This window comes from Homo sapiens, chromosome X, assembly GCF_000001405.40.
Source record: "Homo sapiens chromosome X, GRCh38.p14 Primary Assembly".
Classification (NCBI taxonomy): Eukaryota; Metazoa; Chordata; class Mammalia; order Primates; family Hominidae; genus Homo; species Homo sapiens.
The window spans coordinates 36,470,060-36,472,639 of NC_000023.11; the positions used below are offsets into that span (position 1 = coordinate 36,470,060).

Here is a 2,580-nt window from a genome sequence, read left to right on the forward strand (position 1 = left end):
TCTGTATTGGTTATTCTAGTTATACATTCTTCTAAATTTTTTTCAAAGTTTTCAACTTCTTTGCCTTTGGTTTGAATGTCCTCCCGTAGCTCAGAGTAATTTGATCGTCTGAAGCCTTCTTCTCTCAGCTCGTCAAAGTCATTCTCCATCCAGCTTTGTTCCGTTGCTGGTGAGGAACTGCGTTCCTTTGGAGGAGGAGAGGCCCTCTGCTTTTTAGAGTTTCCAGTTTTTCTGTTCTGTTTTTTCCCCATCTTTGTGGTTTTATCTACTTTTGGTCTTTGATGATGGTGATGTACAGATGGGTTTTTGGTGTGGATGTCCTTTCTGTTTGTTAGTTTTCCTTCTAACAGAGAGGGCCCTCAGCTGCAGGTCTGTTGGAGTACCCTGCCGTGTGAGGTGTCAGTGTGCCCCTGCTGGGGGGTGCCTCCCAGTTAGGCTGCTCGGGGGTCAGGGGTCAGGGACCCACTTGAGGAGGCAGTCTGCCCGTTCTCAGATCTCCAGCTGCGTGCTGGGAGAACCACTGCTCTCTTCAAAGCTGTCAGACAGGGACATTTAAGTCTGCAGAGGTTACTGCTGTCTTTTTGTTTGTCTGTGCCCTGCCCCCAGAGGTGGAGCCTACAGAAGCAGGCAGGCCTCCTTGAGCTGTGGTGGGCTCCACCCAGTTCGAGCTTCCCGGCTGCTTTGTTTACCTAAGCAAGCCTGGGCAATGGCGGGCGCCCCTCCCCCAGCCTCGTTGCCTCCTTGCAGTTTGATCTCAGACTGCTGTGCTAGCAATCAGTGAGACTCCGTGGGCGTAGGACCCTCCGAGCCAGGTGCCGGATATAATCTCGTGGTGCGCCGTTTTTTAAGCCCGTCGGAAAAGCGCAGTATTCGGGTGGGAGTGACCCAATTTTCCAGGTGCTGTCCGTCACCCCTTTCTTTGACTCAGAAAGGGAACTCCCTGACCCCTTGCGCTTCCCAAGTGAGGCAATGCCTCGCCCTGCTTCGGCTCGTGCACGGTGCACGCACCCACTGACCTGCGCCCACTGTCTGGCACTCCCTAGTGAGATGAACCCGGTACCTCAGATGGAAATGCAGAAATCACCCGTCTTCTGCGTCGCTCACGCTGGGAGCTGTAGACCGGAGCTGTTCCTATTCAGCCATCTTGGCTCCTCCCCCCCGCAATCCTGTCATTCTTGACAACATAGATGAACGTGGAGGACATTAAAGGCCAGGTACAGAAAGGTAAACATTGTATGATTTCACTTACGTATGGAATCGAAAAAAGTTGAACTCATAGAAGTAAAGGGTAGATGGTGGTCACTAGGGGCTGGGGTGGAGCAGATTTTGAGGAGATGTTAGTCAAAGTATACAAAATTTCACTTATACAGGAGGCATAGGTTCAAGAGTTCTTTTGTGAAACATGGGGACTGTAGTTGATGACAATGCATTGTATTCTTGAAAATCACTAAGAGAGATCTTAAGTGTTCTCACCACAAAATATAGTAAGTATGTGAGGTAATGTATGTGTGACTTAGTTATTTCACAATGTATACATATTTTAAAATTCATATTTTACACAATAAATACATACAATAAAAGAAACAAGGGAAACATAGTAATATCAATAATCATAACAGTTGTTGATCTGATGTGATAAAATGAAAATTTATCTTTGTGATTTTCCTCTCCCAAACCCAAAATCCCAGTCTAATTGTGAGACAAACAGAAGACATTGATATGGTTTAGATTTGTGTCCCCGCCCAAATCTCATGTCAAATTGTAATCCCCAGTGTTGGAGGAGGGGCCTGGTGGGAGGTGATTGGATCATGGGAGCAGATTTTCCCCTTGTTGTTTTCATGATAATGAAGGAGTTCTCATGAGATCTTGTTGTTTAAAAGTTTGTAGCACCTCCCCTTTCACTCTCTTCCTCCTGCTCCAGACATGCCTTTCTTCCCCTTCACCTGCTGCCATGATTGTATGTTTCCTGAGTCCTCCCCAGCCATGTTCCTCATACAGCCTTTGGAACTGTGAGCCAATTAAACCTCCCTTCTTTATAAATTACCCAGTCTCAGTAGTTTTTTATAGCAACAAGAAAATGGATTGAAACATACATATTCCAATTGAGAGGCTCGTGATATTGGTAATTGTGTGAAACACTGGTATGGAAAAAGACATTAGACAAAGAACACTAAAAGTGCAAAAGAAAAGAAAAACACAATTACAAAATGGACAGAAATATTAACAAATACTTCAACAGGCTTTACATATTCTCACTGTCATCTACTGCACCGCTCTTTACAATTTCATAGAAAGGTATACAGTTCAGAATCAGAATATTCATGTATTCATTTTTTGTTGGTTGGTTGGCTTAGGTTGGCTTACTTTTTAAGGAGAAAGTATCCACAAGTCTTTCAGGTCTTTTCTGCTGTGTAGGAATCAGACATCTTATGCCACCAGTGAATTCAGTTGGCATCAAACTATTCAAAAGATTAGGAATCACACATTGGTTGAGGGTAGAAGGTTCTAATATAGTCCTCTCTGTGCATCTGATTATTGAATATAATATACATAGACTGTCACTTAGTGCATGACCAAGTC

General features: G+C 44.5%; 1 annotated feature.

Annotated features, from left to right (window-relative positions):
* Positions 865 to 1,445: an enhancer, noted in NCBI's record as "H3K27ac-H3K4me1 hESC enhancer chrX:36489007-36489587 (GRCh37/hg19 assembly coordinates)". NCBI's record gives its function as "activates a minimal SCP1, AML or CMV promoter by ChIP-STARR-seq in naive H9 embryonic stem cells {active_cell/tissue: H9 hESC(naive)}" and the evidence as "EXISTENCE:reporter gene assay evidence [ECO:0000049][PMID:30033119]".